The following is a 16,103-nucleotide window of genomic DNA, read 5'->3' on the forward strand; positions in this document are numbered from 1 at the left end:
TGTCACCCAGGCAGGATGCAGTTGCACAATCATAGCCCACTGCAGCCTGAACTCCTGGGCTTAAGTGATCCTTCTGCCTCAGCCTTTTGAGTACCTGGGGGACTTTAGGCAGTGCTACTATACCTGGCTAATTTTTAAATGTTTTATAGATGAGATCTTGCTGTATTGCCCAGGCTGGTCTAGAATTCCTGGGCCCAAGTGATCCTCCCACCTTGGCCTCCCAAAGCGCTGAGATTACAGGCATGAGCCACCACTTCTGACCAATAGATATTTATATTTGTGACTGGAAAATATATTAACAATGTGTTAAAAAATTCAGTTAAAAAATAATGAAAGATTTTTGCTTCTGGCTAAGATAGAATAACAAGGACAGCATTTATCTTCTTGCCTTGAAATAGTTGAAAACGGAAGAAATATATGTAACAGTGGTTTTCAAGTTATTGGGCATCAGGCAAAGAAGAATAGTTATCCCAGGAAAATGAATGTGGAGAGCCCTACAATTTCCTTACATTACTGCCTGGTCATGGCAAGAGGAAAAACTGAGAGGAGACTGAGGCTGAGCCAGTGGTTTGCTGGGTTGAGGAGGCAGAGCTGGGAGTGCAGAGATGCAAGGTGGTGAGAGCCCATATGGAAGAATACCAGGGAAGAGAGCTGCAGAGGGAGCTCCGGAGACCTGCACCCTGCCCTCTCAGTACCCTGTCATGTGTGTAGCTGAGTACTGACGAGCACTTGCTTGTGCGGAAATGACCCAGGGCTGGAGGTAGAGCCACCTGAAAGGATTAGAAGGAACAGTTGCTGAAAGTCACACAGGGCCAGGAAGAATTTCTAATCACACCAGTTGGAGTGGAAAACCTCAGCTCTCATAGAGCAGGTAGGGTACTCAGAAGGGTTTGCCCACCTAGCCCCAGACTAAGTTTCGTTACTCTGACCCTACCTAATATTAAAAAGAGATTAATTAAATTGTTCGCAACAAAAATAATATATTTCAGTGTTTGTAACACGTAGAAGTGAATTGTATGACAATAGCATAAAGGCTGGAAGAGCAGAAATTGACATGTATTTGCGCTGGGCAGAATAATGCTCCCCTCTTTCCCCAAAAGATATCAAGTCCTAATCCCTGGAGCCTGTAAATATTACTTTATATGGAAAATTGTTTTATGATGTGATTAAATTCAGGATCTTGAGATGAGGGGGCTATCTTGGATGATCTGGGTAGGCACTAAATGCAATCACATATATATAAAAAGGAGGCAGAGGGAGATTTTACACACAGAGAGAAGGCCCTGTGAAGATGGAACAGAAAGATTTGAAGGTGCTGGCCTTGAAAATTGGAGTGATGAAGCTATAAGCCAAGGAATGCAGCAGCCACCAAAGCTGGAAGAGGCACGGAGCAGTTCTCATTTAGAGCCTACTCCAGAGGGAATGTGGTGCTGCCAATTCCTTTTTTTTTTTTTTTTTTAAGATATCATTTACCCCTTTAAGTTGGTTTTTTTTTTTTTTTTTTTTTTTTAGTATTTATTGATCATTCTTGGGTGTTTCTTGGAGAGGGGGATTTGGCAGGGTCATAGGACAATAGTGGAGGGAAGGTCAGCAGATAAACATGTAAACAAAGGTCTCTGGTTTTCCTAGGCAGAGGGCCCTGCCACGTTCTGCAGTGTTTGTGTCCCTGGGTACTTGAGATTAGGGAGTGGTGATGACTCTTAACGAGTATGCTGCCTTCAAGCATCTGTTTAACAAAGCACATCTTGCACCGCCCTTAATCCATTTAACCCTTAGTGGACACAGCACATGTTTCAGAGAGCACGGGGTTGGGGGTAAGGTTATAGATTAACAGCATCCCAAGGCAGAAGAATTTTTCTTAGTACAGAACAAAATGGAGTGTCCTATGTCTACTTCTTTCTACGCAGACACAGTAACAATCTGATCTCTCTTTCTTTTCCCACATTTCCTCCTTTTCTATTCGACAAAACTGCCACCGTCATCATGGACTGTTCTCAATGAGCTATTGGGTACACCTCCCAGATGGGGTGGCGGCCGGGCAGAGGGGCTCCTCACTTCCCAGATGGGGCGGCCGGGCAGAGGCGCCCCCCAACCTCCCAGACGGGGCGGCGGCTGGGCGGGGGCTGCCCCCCACCTCCCGGACGGGGCGGGTGGCCGGGCGGGGGCTGCCCACCACCTCCCGGACGGGGCGGCTGGCCGGGCGGGGGCTGCCCCCCACCTCCCGGACGGGGCGGGTGGCCGGGCGGGGGCTGCCCCCCACCTCCCGGACGGGGCGGCTGGCCGGGCGGGGGCTGCCCCCCACCTCCCGGACGGAGCGGCTGCCGGGCGGAGGGGCTCCTCACTTCCCGGACGGGGCGGCTGCTGGGCGGAGGGGCTCCTCACTTCTCAGACGGGGCGGCTGGTCAGAGACGCTCCTCACCTCCCAGACGGGGTGGCAGTGGGGCAGAGACATTCTTAAGTTCCCAGACGGAGTCACGGCCGGGCAGAGGTGCTCTTCACATCTCAGACGGGGCGGCGGGGCAGAGGTGCTCCCCACTTCCCAGACGATGGGCGGCCGGGCAGAGATGCTCCTCACTTCCTAGATGGGATGACAGCCGGGAAGAGGCGCTCCTCACTTCCCAGACTGGGCAGCCAGGCAGAGGGGCTCCTCACATCCCAGACGATGGGCGGCCAGGCAGAAACGCTCCTCACTTCCTAGACGGGGTGGCGGCTGGGCAGAGGCCGCAATCTTGGCACTTTGGGAGGCCAAGGCAGGCGGCTGGGAGGTGAAGGTTGTAGTGACCCGAGATCACGCCACTGCACTCCAGCCTGGGCAACACTGAGCACTGAGTGAGCGAGACTCCGTCTGCAATCCCGGCACCTCGGGAGGCCGAGGCTGGCAGATCACTTGCAGTCAGGAGCTGGAGACCAGCCCGGCCAACACGGCGAAACCCCGTCTCCACCAAAAAACACGAAAACCAGTCAGACATGGCGGTGCGTGCCTGCAATCCCAGGCACTTGGCAGGCTGAGGCAGGAGAATCAGGTAGGGAGGTTGCAGTGAGTAGAGATGGTGGCAGTACAGTCCAGCCTTGGCTCGGCATCAGAGGGAGACTGTGCGAGGGCGAGGGCGAGGGCGAGGGAATTCCTTAATTTCAGTTTAGTGATACTAATTTTGGACTCTGGCCTCTAAAACTGTGAAAGAAAAAATTTTTTGTTTGTTTGTTTCTTTTAAGCCACATAGTTTGTGGTAATTTGTTACAGCAGCTGCAGGAAACTAATTTATGCTGCATGTGAAATGGTGTAATAAGGTAGATTGTGATGAAGATACATAGTATAAACAATTAAGCAACAACTAAAAGCACAACAAGGAATTATAGCTAATGAACCAAAAAAGGAGATTAGAATAATAAAAATGGTGAATCCCAAAGAAGCCAGAAATAGGGGAAGAGGCAAATAAAGGAAAGAAAGAGCTTGATGGTAGATTTCAACCTAACTATGTCAAAAAGGACATTACATGTAAAAGGCAGCGATTTTTCAGATTGAATGGAAAAGTAAGACTCGGTATATGCTGCTGCCTGCAAGAAACACATTCTAAATATAAAGGCAAAAATAACCTACAGGTAACAGAACGGAAAGAAGTTCACTGTGCTTACAAGAATTAGATGCAAGCTAGACTGGTTCTGTTAATATCAGACAAAGTGGATTTCAAAGCAAAGGCTCTTGCCCAGGATGAGATGGTCATTTCATAATGATGAAGGGGATTCGTTCATCAGCCTGGCATAGCAAGCTGAAATGTTTATGCACCGGACTACAGAGCTAAAATACATGAAGCAAAGCCTGACAGAACTACAAGTAGAAACAGACAAATCCACAGTGATAGAGATTTCAGTAGCCGCTCTCAATGATTTGTAGAACACGTAGCCATAATATCTGGATCTAGAACACTTGACCAACACTGTCCCCTGTGCAACCTCATTGGCATTTACAGGACACTCCACCCAGCACCAGCAGAAGAGACACTCTCTCAAGTGCTCACAGAATGTTTGCCAAGATAGAGCAGATGCTGGGCCATAAAACAAGTCTCTAAATTAAAAGCATTCAAATTATTCAGAGTATGTTTTCTGACCTCAGTATCATTAAGTTGGAATATATTATAGGAAGATAACCTGGAAAAGCCTCAGATATGTGGAAAAACCCATTTCCACATGGCCCATGGGTCAGAAGTGAAGTCAAAAGGGAAATTTGAAAGTCTTTTGGATTGACTGATATAAAAACAATAGATTTCTAAACTTGTGGGGTGCTGTTACAGCATAGTAAATGGAAATTTCTAGCATTAAATGCCTGTTTTAGGAAAGAAAGATTTCAAATCAATGACCTCAGCTTCTACCTTTGGAAACTTGAAAATGACAAGCAAATGGAATCCAGAGTTACCAGAAGGGCCAGGTACGGTGGCTTATGCCTGCAGTTCTGCCACTTTGGGAGGCCGAGGCAGGTGGATTGTTTGAGACTGGCAGTTGAAGACCAGCCTGGGCAGCCTAGGGAGACCCCATATCTACAAAAAACAAAAAAATTAGCCAGGTGTGGTGGCATGTGCCTGTAGTCCCAGCTAACCAGGAGTCTAAGGTGGGAGGATTGCTTGAGTCTGGGAGGTTGAGGCTGCAGTGAACTGTGATTGTGCCACTGTGTTCCATCCTGGGCAACAGAATGAGACCCTGTCTCAAAAACAAAAACAGTTACTAGAAGAATGGACATCATAAAGATAGGAGCAGAAGTCAGTAAAATAGAAAACAAAAATACATAGGAAATCAATAAAACCAAAAGCTGGTTCATCAAGAACATCAATAAATTGGTAAAGCTGATAGGAAAAACAGTGAAGTCACAAATTAGCAATATCAGGAATGAGGGAGATGACAGTAGTATAGATTATATAGATATTAAAAGGACTGTATGAGGCAGGTGTGGTGGTTCACGCCTGTAATCCCAGCACCTTGGGAGGCCGAGGTGGACAGATCACCTGAGGTCAGGAGTTTGGGACCAGCCTGGCCAACATGGTGAAACTCTGTCTCTACTAAAAATACAAAAATTAGTTGGTCGTGGTGCTGTGTGCCTGTAATCCCAGCTACTTGGGAGGCTGAGGCAGGAGAATTGCTTGAACCTGGGAGGCGGAGGTTGCAGTGAGCTGAGATTGTGCCGTTGCACTCCAGCCTGGGTGACAGAGCAAGACTCCATCTCAAAACAAATAAATAAATAAAAAGGACTATATGGTAATATTATGAACAACTTTATGCCAATAAATTTGACAACTTATAGATGAAATGGATGAGTTCCTTGAAAGACACAGAAACTATTAAAGCTCTCTCAAGAAGATATAGATAAGCTGATTAGCCCTATATCTATTTTATTGAATTTAAATGTAAAAATCAATATTTAGTTACTGGAAAACTTTTAAGTGTGGTTGGAAATGGTATACGAACTTTTTCAACTGAATTTTATGAAGTCTAATCACAGGTAAAGGTTTTCTGATGAAAATTTAGTGTCTGAATTGAGATATACTGTAAAAAATGTTATATATCTTAATTATTTCTTCACATTAATTACATGTTGAAATAATACTTTGGGTGTATTGGGTTAAATTAAATATTATGAAAATCTTGCCTGTTTTCTTTTTACTTTTGATGCGTCAGCTAGGAAATATAAAAGTGTAGCTCACATTCTGTTTCTGTTGACAGTACTGCTTTGGAGCACAGTGTTTGAATGATCTATCATTTCAAAGACCTTTCCTCAGTTCGTTATTCATGGCTGTCTGTATTCCACATAGATAAGGTCTGAAATACTGCTAAGTGGCATGTTTTGTTTTATGCTTTTATAAGTTTGTTGATCATTACTGATGTGGACTTTTGGTGCCTCTTAGGCTCATTGCTATCTTCCAACCATTGTTTGCAATTTTTACCTAGAGATAAAGAGAAAGAGACATTTGGTTTCAGAGTAGTTAGATTGGGATCATGAAAGAGCAACCTCATTTTGATGCTTCAAAAATAGCACATCCCCCGTATTACTGGGATTTGCTATTCTTGGGATTACTTCAAGAACATCCTTGTGTTACTGGTTTGGATGCTTCTGAATGCTGTGAAGTCAGTTTCATGTACATGGCTCATCAGTTTAGCTCTCTCTTGGCTTTGTTTAGACAGTTGGAGCATGATGGCCTAAACAGCTTCTTTCAATTAAACATTTTAAAATAGTTTACAAATAGTAAACAAACTCCAGTTTTTGTGACTCTTTGTCTCGCACAACAAAAACACAATCTGACCATGATCATCTGGCATCTTAGGGTGAAATATGGTTATACTTTGGCCCATACCGAAAGCAAGATTAAAAAGGGGCAGGAGAGATAGACTGCTGAACTGATTTTCAAGGTTCCAAGAATATTGTAGGTTAAGAGTAAAAGTAAACTTTTGGTAGAAAGCAGTGGGTTGTCTAGGATTGAAGTATCTGAAGTTTTTAAACGAAAATTTAAAAAGAAAAATGAGAATTGCCTTACAAGTACAATCTCTTCTTTTTTAAAAAATAAACTTTATTTTGAAATAGTTTTAGATTTATAGAAAAAAATTAGATAGGGTAGGAAGTTTTCATATACCCTACATCCAGTTACCCCAGTTATTATCATCCTAATTTAGTGTGAGACATTTTCATGTTTAATGAATCAATATTGATATGCTATTAACTTAAGTCCAGACTTTATTCAGATTTTCTTAATTTCTATGTAATGTCCTTTTTCTGTTCCAGAATTCCATGCAGGACACCGGATACCTCATTACATTTCATTGTCATGTCACCTTAGGCTCCTCTTGACAGTTTCTCTTCTTTTTTTGCTTAGAAATTCTCCAGAATTTCAGAAACTTCTGGGCATCGCTATGGAACTTTTTCTGCTGTGCAGTGATGACGCAGAGTCAGATGTCAGGATGGTGGCTGACGAATGCCTCAACAAAGTTATCAAAGTAAGAACCGTGTGGATGATGTTCTCCTCAGAGCTATCATTGTTGTAGGCTGAGAGAAGAAGCGATCATTGAGTGTTCTTCTGTTTTGAGTCCCTGAGGATGTCTGCACTTTTTTCCTTTCTGATGTATGGTTTGGAGGTGCTCTGTTGTATGGTTTGGAGGTGCTCTGTTGTATGGTTTGGAGGTGCTCTATTGTATGGTTTGGAGGTGCTCTGTTGTATGGTTTGGAGGTGCTCTTGTATGGTTTGGAGGTGCTCTTGTATGGTTTGGAGGTGCTCTGTTGTATGGTTTGGAGGTGGTCTTGTATGGTTTGCAGGTGCTCTATTGCATGGTTTGCAGGTGCTCTATTGTATGGTTTGGAAGTGCTCTTGTATGGTTTGGAGGTGCTCTTGTATGGTTTGGAGATGCTCTATTGTATGGTTTGCAGGTGCTCTATTGTATGGTTTGGAAGTGCTCTTGTATGGTTTGGAGGTGCTCTTGTATGGTTTGGAGGTGCTCTGTTGTATGGTTTGGAGGTGCTCTGTTGTATGGTTTGGAGGTGCTCTTGTATGGTTTGGAGGTGCTCTATTGTATGGTTTGGAGATGCTCTGGTATCTGCCTGCATTGCTTGCCACACCTGCCCGGTCAGAAGGCGCTATGTTGACAATTGTGCCTGCACGGTGCCTAGGTCAATGAAGGGAACCGATGGTAGCCACTGGATGCTCCTGGGAAAATGTCACTACAGGCACCAGAGAAGCCAGAGCTATGCCCAAATTTCTATGAGTCTCAGTTTTCTTAACCATAAAATGGGATCAATGTTTTTGTGGCATGTGTATGAGTGTGTGTCTGTGTATGTGTGAGGATTAAATTGTGTATGTGTGAGGACTAATTGCCACTACTGGATCCTCAAAGTGGTAAGAAGTGTTCTTATTAATAATGACATCCTTACACTCTTACCCAGCAAGATTGATGGGTGTGGCACTGCTTCTCTTTTTCCATCACATGGTTTCCATGGTATCCTTTTGCCCAGGGAATCTTTGCTTTGTGGCTAGCACTTTGTTGTTTGGCTAATCACGCTTTCTGTGGTCAGGACGCTGGCTTCTCTGGAGCCATGGGATTCTAGCTCCCTGTCTTGTCCCTAGAGTGGTCACTGTCTTCTCTCTCCGCTTGCAATTCCTGCTTTGCTCGCATCTCACTTATGCAGTGACGTATATCAGTTTCACCTTGTTCTCCGTGCCTGCTGATCATTGGCACCACTTGCATGGTGCCATTTAGGGCCTGCTTCCAGTTAAGCTTGCTTCTCCACAGGCCTAAATATCCTTGCTTGCTTCTTTTATTCTCACTGGCAGGACCAGGGCGGTCTGTCTTTGCATGAGACAGGGTCTCGCTCAGTCACCCAGGCTGGAGTGCAGTGGCTGATCACGGCTCATTGCAGCCTTGAGCTACCGGGCTCAAGCTATCCTCCTGGCTTGGCCCCTTGAGTAGCTGGGACTACAGGCGTGCACCACCATGCCCAGCTAATTTTTAAAATTATTTGTAGAGATGGGATCTCGCCAGGTTGCCCAGGCTGGTCTTGAACGCCTGGGCTCAAGTGATCCTCCCTCCTTGGTTTCCCAAAGTGCTGGGATCACAGGTGTGAGCCACTGTGCCTGGCCCTTGATGTTTCAGTTCTTGATATTTGATCCTCAGAGTCAGAAAATCTAAAAAGAGGGCTATCCCAGGTTGCCTTGGTTCATGGCAAATGGGACGTTAAGAGGGCAGAGAGAATATGAACAGAAACTGTTCTAATATTGGTCATTTAATGTGTAAGTATTGTTCTTTTTTAAACCTCCTTCATTTTTTTTCCAGGAATTGCTGGACACAGTGGCTTGGTGTGTGTCTGAGGACTGTAGGCCATGGCCCTAGGTTGTGGTTTTAGGTCTCAGGTGCTCTTCCTGGCTGTCTCCTTGCTTCTTTCCCATGTCCTCTTCTTTGTTTCCAGCCATTTCTCCCTTATGCTTAAGTTTGGTGCAGCAGGGTTTGGCTGCTCTCAGATTCCTGCTTCCTCAGATGCTGTAGTTGTCAGGCCCAGCGGGCTGGCAGCGGGATCAGGATCTGGCTAGGTTTGCTCTCACTGTGGCAGAGTAGGGGGAGGCGTGGGAGAGCACGTGTGACCCCAGGCCAGCTGTAGGGAGCATAGGCATGGTCACGTAGCCTTCAGGTCCTAGACTTTGTCTTCTCATGAGTATGGCTGTGTGTGTATGGTGAAAACTAGGTTCTACTTAGCCCAAGAAAATGGGCACATTTTGCATGTGGTTTCTGTAGAGAAATGCACTGGGTATCTGACATAGCCTGGCAGCATGCCTCCCTCAGGTAGGTTAGTCTCAGGCGGTGAAGCACGTGTGTCCAGCAAGAACTTCATATGTGGCATAAAGTCTCCGTTCTGTGAGGTGCTGGCAAATCACCACCACCGTCAAGAGGCTGAAGTGATTTTTGTCTAGGGAGGCAGGAAAGGCTTCCTGGAGTCAGCAGCCAGTAGGTGAAAGAGTAGATTGGAGACCTTCTTAATCATCACCGCCTCTTGTCTCAAGGGGTGCCAGGAAGCTGTGGAGGCTGAACCCATCTTATGCTGCCAGAGAGTGGGACACCATGAGGGTCAGGTCAAGGGGTTGTACCTTGTTTGGTAGAGAATTAGGGGCTCTTGAAGACTTTGGATGTGGTCAGGGGAGTGTATCATTTAGGAAGAGTGACCCGGTGAGGACGTGGGGTAGAGGAGGACAGGTGGGAGGGAGTCCAGGTGGGAGTGAGTAGACCCAGCAGGAGTGCAGGGCCTCGAGCCAGGATGGTGGCAGGGCTGTGAGGAGAGGCAGCCACCTGTGTGTCTGCGGAAGCAGGGGCAAGAGGGAAGAGGCCAGCAGCGTGCTGCCATCACCCAGCGACTGGCGTAGATTGTGAGAGACCATTCCCTGCTCTTAGGAGGGGCTGAGTTTTAGTTTTCTCTTGTTATACAATAAGCTTGGTATTTGTTTACAAAACATTTGTAAAGCTAAATCAAGGTTTGATAAGGCTTCTAGTTTTATTTAAGAAGTAATGTTGAAATAAATGTTTGTCCAATTCGCTTTGCTCATTTAAGGACTTTCAGTACAAACTGCAACAACAGGATTAGGATTTAAACGTTTCTGAGATGTTTTTACTCCTCAGAATTTCCCAGAATGTGATCTGGTTTTGATTTTCAAGCTTGCTGACCCAATAGGTTAACCCACAAGTTTTACGAAGACCATCTCAGTCCACTTACATCAACTGCCCATGCCACGGTTAAAGAGATCATCGACTGATGTTTGGCACAGCTTCCTCCCTCTTGGGTGGGCAAGCATTTGGAAGAGAAGGCTCCTATGGGTGAGAGTGGGGCACCAAAGTCTTCCCTGTCCCATCCCCTAGCTTGAGAAGCCCTTCTCTAATGTGGACTTTGTGCCGTTAGCATCGTTACTAGCTTGAAGTTGACCATCTGGACGTACTTTCTGGTTTAGCCTCACAAGTGAGCAAGGAGGGTTGAGAGATGTGCTGTGAGGAATGTGGGGCCCCAGCTGGCAGCAGGCTCTGGGTCAGGGGGGCAGGGACCACGGGCATACCTGACAGTGAGGAGGGGCCACACCTGCAGAAAAGGATGCAGGACTCCGCCTTGGGAAGTGTTCTAGGCCAGAGCGAGGGTCTGTGGTTTATAAGTACACCCACAGTGCTCGGGACCCTGCAGATGTCCAGGGTGCCGTCTGAGCCCGTATCATCCAACAGAATGTTCTGCTAGTGAAGATTAAAGATTTACTCCAGGGGCTTTAGGATTTATTATATATATATAAATCCTATATATATAATTTTTTTTTTTTTTTTTTTTGAGATGGAGTTTCGCTCTTGTTGCCCAGGCTGGAGTGCAATGGCGTGATCTTGGCTCACTGCAACCTCCGCCTCCCGGGTTCAAACTATTCTCCTGCCTCAGCCTCTCGAGTAGCTGGGATTACAGGCGCCCACCACCACACCCGGCTAATTTTTGTATTTTTTAGTAGAGACGGAGTTTCTCCATGTTGGTCAGGCTGGTCTTGAACTCCTGACCTCAGGTGATCTGCCCGCCTTGGCCTCCCAAAGTGCTGGGATTACAGGCATGAGCCACCCCACCTGGCCAGGATTTATTGTATTTGAACCATCTACCATTTTAATTTTGATGTTATGTAGTATTTGATGATAATGAAAGTTAAATTGTTTTTCTTTCCATTTTTCTGTTTAAGTGAATGACCTGTATCTAGTTTATTCAGTAACTTCCTGCATATATTTGTTTCTTTCATTCTTAATGAATATATTCTTAATTTAGTTGCTATTATGTTTTGCTTTGCCCCAAAATTGAAATCTTAGTTTCCTTTTAGCTCGTTTTAGAACTAGTGATGGGATGTGTCTTCCATAAATCTCTTGTGATTTGTTGTAGGCTTTGATGGATTCTAATCTTCCAAGGTTACAGCTCGAGCTCTATAAGGAAATTAAAAAGGTGGGCCTTGCTTTTCTTTTTTAAAAATGTTTTAAATTTTAAATTTTTATAGGTACACGTATTTTGTAGGTACATGTAAATGTATATATTTATGGGGTACATGAGATATTTTGATACAGGTATACAATACATAATAATCACACCATGGAAAGTTGGATATCCATGCCCTCAAGCATTTATCCTTTGTGTTACAAACAATCCAGTTACATGCTTTACTTATTTTATTTTATTTTTGAGACAGAGTCTTGCTTTCACCCATGCTAGAGTACAGTGGCATGACCTTGGCTCACTGCAACCTCCGCCTCCCGGGTTCAACCGAACTTTGGGCTGGTCTCAAACTCCTGACCTCAGGTGATCCGCCCGCCTCGGCCTCCCAAAGTGTTGGGATTACAGGCGTGAGCCACTGTGCCGGGCCTGATTGTACATTTTAAAATAACTAAAACAGTCAGGGCACAGTGGCTCATGCCTGTAATCCCAGCATTTTGGGAGGCTGAGGCAGGTGATCACCTGAGATCAGGAGTTCGAGACCAGCCTGGCCAACATGGAGAAACCCTGTCTCTACTAAAAATACAAAAATTAGCCAAGTGTGGTGGCGGGCGCCTGTAATCCTGGCTACTCGGGAGGCTGAGGTAGGGGAATCGCTTGAACCTGGGGGTGGAGGTTGCAGTGAGCCGAGATCACGCCACTGCATTCCAGCCTGAGCGACAGAGTGAGACTTTGTCTCAAAAAATAAAAATGAAATAAAATTGGGCCGGGTGTGGTGGCTCACACCTTAGTCCCAGCACTTTGGGAACCTGAGGCAGGTGGATGCTTGAGACCAGGAGTTTGAGACCAGCATGGGCAACATGGCAAAACGCTGTCTGTACAGAAATTAGCTGGGTGTGGTGGTGCACAACTATAGTCTCAGCTACTTGGGAGATTGAGGTGGGAGGATTAATTGAGCCTGGAAGGTTGAATCTATAGGTAGCTGAGATTGTGCCACTGCCCTTCAGCCTGGGCGACCAAGTGAGACCCTGTCTCAAAAGAAAAACAAAAAAACAAAAAACAAACCACTATTATCGACTATATATTATTGTCTATGATCCCTCTGCTGTGCTGTCGAATACCAGGTCTTGGGCCCTTATTTCCATCACTGAGCAAACTTCACTCTGTTAAGCAGCAGGTGTGGGATTTCATCGTTATTCAGTAATTCACAATGTTAGAAGGAAATGCTGTTTGGTAGACGATTGCTTTACTTTTCTTCAAAAGGTTACTCTTTATTAGATGAGATGAGAATTAAAAATGGTAACTTACTTTATATCTTTATAATTGAAGCCCACTAGACCTTAAAGTAGTTACCAGATGTTTTATGCATTTAAATGGCCTTTTCTCTAAAATTAGAAAGTAACAAGGAAAGAAAATGCTTCGTTTCTATGCAACCCTCTTGGTGACTAGTATGTGACTCTTAATGCAACCCTCATTGCACCCCCTCAGAATGGTGCCCCTCGGAGTTTGCGTGCTGCCCTGTGGAGGTTTGCTGAGCTGGCTCACCTGGTTCGGCCTCAGAAATGCAGGTAAGTTGTACACTCTGGATGTTGGTTTTTGTCGGGGGCCAGCTGCTACTGATCCTTTATGTCTCAGCTCAGATGTCATTTCAAAAGTCTGCTCTGCCCTCTCCAAATTGCAGTCGACCTTGCCCTGTTTATGTTTCCCTCATAGCACTAATCCATGTCAGAAATTGTCACGTACAGTCTATCTGTGTGCTTGTTTATTTTCTATCCCACCCTTCCGCAAGAGACTTATGGGATGTGTGCCCCAGGACAGCAGGGGTCTTACTGTCTTATGCTCTGTTGCAGCCCAGCAGCGATAACAGTGTCTGCACATAGTACTTGCTTAAAAGATACTTGCCAAATTGTTGAAGGTTGAGGTACCAATTTCATTATTGCTGACTATAGGAGTTATAGCAAAATATCCATTTGTCTGTTACATGAGTTAAAAATATGGTTGTTGCACTGTGAATAGTTTGGTTTAGTCAAAACAGTTGTATCTTAACGGATTGAGAAACAAAAGCAGGACCACTTTTCATCAGCTCCCTCCTTCTCCTTAACCAGCAATACATGCTGATGCTGATATCCCATAGACCCTCAGCTCCATCCTGAGTCACTGGGAATGTGGTCTAAACCCTCACTATTAATATGAACTGAGTTTCAATAAGAATCTTATATGGGTCGGGCATAGTGGCTCATACCTTTGATCCCAGCACTTCAGGAGGCCAAGGCAGGTGGATTGCTTGACCCAGACTAGGCAACATGGTGAAACGCCGCCTCTACAAAAAATACAAAACTTAGCCAGGCATGGTGGTGCGTGCCTGTGGTCACAGCCACTCGAGAGGCTGAGGTGGGAGGATCACTTGAGCCTGGGAGGTGGAGGTCGTGTTGAGCCAAGATCGCACCACTGCACTCCAGCCTGGGCAACAGAGTGAGACCTGTCTCAAAAAAACCAAAATCCAGAAAAGAACTTATATGGCTGCAGAGGTATAATCACTAAGGAAATTTCCTTTTGTATAATCTTTTTTCTTTTACTATCATTTAAAAAAATGTGTTATATTTCTGAAGCAACACATCCAGGTTCTGCACATAGCAGCCAAAGTGACCTTAAAGAATATAACTGGGTCTTGTCATTCCCTTATTTAAACTCTTGTACCCATTTCCCAGTGCCGTTTAGATAGAGATTCCAGACTCGTCAATGGCTCTGTCACCTCAGACACCCTGCATTGACTCATTAGTCTGATTAGAGTCAGGTTTTTCTTCCTCCTGATGGTTTTTTTTTCCCCCTTAGTTCTCAGCGGAACAGTCACTTCCTTAGGGAGGTTTCCCCAGCCACCCTCTGAGGCCGTGCTTGTTGCCAGACTCTGCCACTAGAGGGCAGGGCTGCACCACTCCTGGCACCTCGCACCCGGCCTGCCCTGTCACTCTGTGTGTTGGGTGAATTCCTGTGATCTGTGACTCACTGCTCTGTGTCCTACACATTCGGCTTTTCTTCTCTCCCCACAACCCCATTTTATAATTCTCCTTTTTCAGGAAAGCTTTATTCCCATTTAAAAATTTTTGTTTTTAAAATGGTATTTTCTTACACTTATTTTCTAATTAAAAATGAGTGTTTTAAGAAGTATTATGATTTACTGCAAATAATTTTTAAACCCAGCCTTTTAGATCCTCTGTGATCATAAGAGAAATGAAGGATGTCTCCCAACACTTGAGCTTCATCCACATTTCATCCTCCTGTTCTTTCAGCTGAGTTTTCCCCATCCCATTAGGGACTGTTGGAATATAAAACTGGCTTTTCCCTAACAGGGAATGAATTGCTTCTGTTTCTCCTGAAGGAGAGCTGGAAGAATGACTTGCGTTCTTTTGCATACACAGGCCTTACCTGGTGAACCTTCTGCCGTGCCTGACTCGAACAAGCAAGAGACCCGAAGAATCAGTCCAGGAGACCTTGGCTGCAGCTGTTCCCAAAATTATGGCTTCTTTTGGCAATTTTGCAAATGACAATGAAATTAAGGTATGATTGTTGCCTCAGGTCACAAACATGCGAGTGATGCTGTGAGTGAGTCTGTGGAGGGTGAGGGCTTCTGAACAGGGAGTCCTGTGGGAGTGCTTCTTGGGGTATGTTGTATGTCGTAATTTAGACTACCATCATTTGTGTTATTTTTGAGGCACCTAAGGACTTCTTTCCACTTCTCATTTCTTACTGTGGGGTGAAGAGTTGAATTGGGAGATGGTTTCTAGATGCAAATTGAAAAGGCATTTTTCCAGAGCAGATTTGTTTTCGGCGTACTAGAGTGACTCTTTAACCTAGCTGCGGGAAGATGACTGTGCCAAGACTGCAGGTAGGAGAAAGCTCACTGACGAGGCCTTGTGGGTCTGAACGTCCTGCAGCTATCAGAGCCTGTTGGCTTCCTGTTGTGCATTCCAACAAATCATCTTCAAACCCACTTTAGTGTTTTGTTTATAATGTCCAGAAATAGTGACCCTGTCACATGCTCTACAGATTACAGGATTCTTAGCCTCTTCCTTTTTGGTAGGTCAGTCCTGGGTTTGAGCCCAAGTGACCCTCCTGGGAGGTGATGATACACACTGGGTAGAGTGGAATCAGATGGACTTGGATTAGAATTCTGTCCTCTTTACTAGTTATTTTCCTCTAGGCAAACTGCCCAACAGCTCTAAGCTATTTCCTTCGTATTCTGAAAAATAAGCCTTAATGGGACCCATATAGGGCAACTCTGAGAGTAAAATAAAGGAATATGTGTTAGAGTGTAGCATAGTCACCCACGGGAAGGGCTTAGATGTTAGCTGCTACTGCTCTTATTAGCTGAATGATTTGGAATAAACTGTTAGCCTCTCTCATGTTTTTTCTCTTGAGCTTCGAAGTTTTCTTGTTAATACTAAGGAGATATTCAAACTAGTCATGGGGTTTTGGAATGACGAAGGGAGATGATGAATCTAAAGAATTTAGTGTAATATTTCTTCATGCTCAGTAAATGGTAGTTTCTGCTGCTGTTATTTTTATTACCATCTCTTTGGAATGGGAGTAGGTGCTCCTTTGTGGTCAGAGGCTGTGAGAGCTCCACAGCGCCAGTTTGCCCATCTGTACACTGGGG

The 16,103-nt window shown here is 45.0% G+C and overlaps 1 protein-coding gene across 2 annotated transcripts in view; it reads left to right on the forward strand.

Annotated features, from left to right (window-relative positions):
- The window catches only part of HTT (huntingtin), a 169,280-nt gene that overhangs the window by 17,739 nt on the left and 135,438 nt on the right, over positions 1-16,103 (forward strand). For both annotated transcript variants that reach the window (NM_002111.8, NM_001388492.1), the window contains 4 exon segments: positions 6,855-6,975; positions 11,405-11,464; positions 12,938-13,017; positions 14,866-15,004. In NM_002111.8, the coding sequence (NP_002102.4) occupies positions 6,855-6,975; positions 11,405-11,464; positions 12,938-13,017; positions 14,866-15,004 (400 nt within the window).

The sequence above is a fragment of the Homo sapiens genome, chromosome 4, assembly GCF_000001405.40.
Source record: "Homo sapiens chromosome 4, GRCh38.p14 Primary Assembly".
NCBI lineage: Eukaryota > Metazoa > Chordata > Mammalia > Primates > Hominidae > Homo > Homo sapiens.